Below are 1,245 nucleotides of genomic sequence, written 5' to 3'. Positions count from 1 at the left end.
TAAGGCAAGGTACTGGGTGGGGGTTGGGGGTGGTGGGACGGAGCTTCCATGTCCCCTCTGGGCACACTACTCTCCCAGCACCTCGATGTGTTCACCAACCCAGAAGCTCTCTGAACCTCATCCTTTAGGGGTTTGATTGGTTTCATTACGTAGGAATGATTGATTAAATCATTGGCCATTGGTAATTAAATTTAATCTCAGGTCCCTCTCCCTACTCCAGAGACTGGGGAGGGAAAAGGAGTGGAGGTAATGGGAGCGGCTGAAGTTTTAATGATGTAATCCCCTGGTTGGTTTTTCTAGTGACTAACCCCTAACCTGAAGGTATCTAGGGGCCCCTGCTTTGAGTCATCTCATTAGCATACAAGACAGTAAATTCCAAGAGTTTTAGGAACTTTGTGCCAGGAACCAGTGGCAAAGACCAAATATTTATTTTTTATTATACCATAGTAGCCATCCTAATGGGTGTGAGGTGATATCTTATTGTGGTTTTGGTTTGCATTTCCCTAATGATTACTGATGTTGAGTTTTTCATGTGCTTGTGGGGCAAGTATGTATATCTTGAAATGTCTATTCAAGCCCTGTGCCTGTTTTTAATTTGAATTATATGGTTTTATATTGTTGAGTTGTACTTCTTTATGTATTCTAGATATAACCTTTTATTAAATATATGATTTGCAAATATTTTCTCCCATTCTGTAAGCTCCTTACATGTCTGTTGATCAGGTCCTTGAATGCACAGTAGTTTTCATTTTACATAGTTTGATTTATCTATTTTTACTTTTCTTGCCTGCACTTTTGATATCACATCCAGGAAATCATTGTCAAATCCAGGGTAATACAGCTTTTCTCCTATGTTTTCTTCTTATCGTTTTTATAGGTTTAGGTCTTATGTTTAGGTCTCTGATTCGTTTTCAGTTAATTTTTGTATACGATACGAGGTAAGGGTCCAACTTCATTCTTTTGCATGTAGATATTCAGTTTTCCCAGCACCACTTGTTGAAGATATTGTCCTTTCCCCATTGAATGGTCTTGCCACCCTTATCAGGAATTATTTAATCTTTACATCCACTTTGTGAGATAGATGTCCTCAGATGAGGACACTGACACCCAGAGAGGTTAAATAGCTGGTCCAAGGTCACATTGAGTAAATTGTGGAGTCAAGATTATAACCTAGACTAAAGTAAAAACTTTTGTGCATCACAGGACACTATCAACAGAGTAAAAGACAACCCACAAAGTGGGAGA

The sequence above is a fragment of the Homo sapiens genome, chromosome 13 (genome assembly GCF_000001405.40).
Source record: "Homo sapiens chromosome 13, GRCh38.p14 Primary Assembly".
NCBI lineage: Eukaryota > Metazoa > Chordata > Mammalia > Primates > Hominidae > Homo > Homo sapiens.
The sequence above is the reverse complement of the archived record's forward strand: the minus strand, read 5'-3'. Positions refer to the sequence as shown.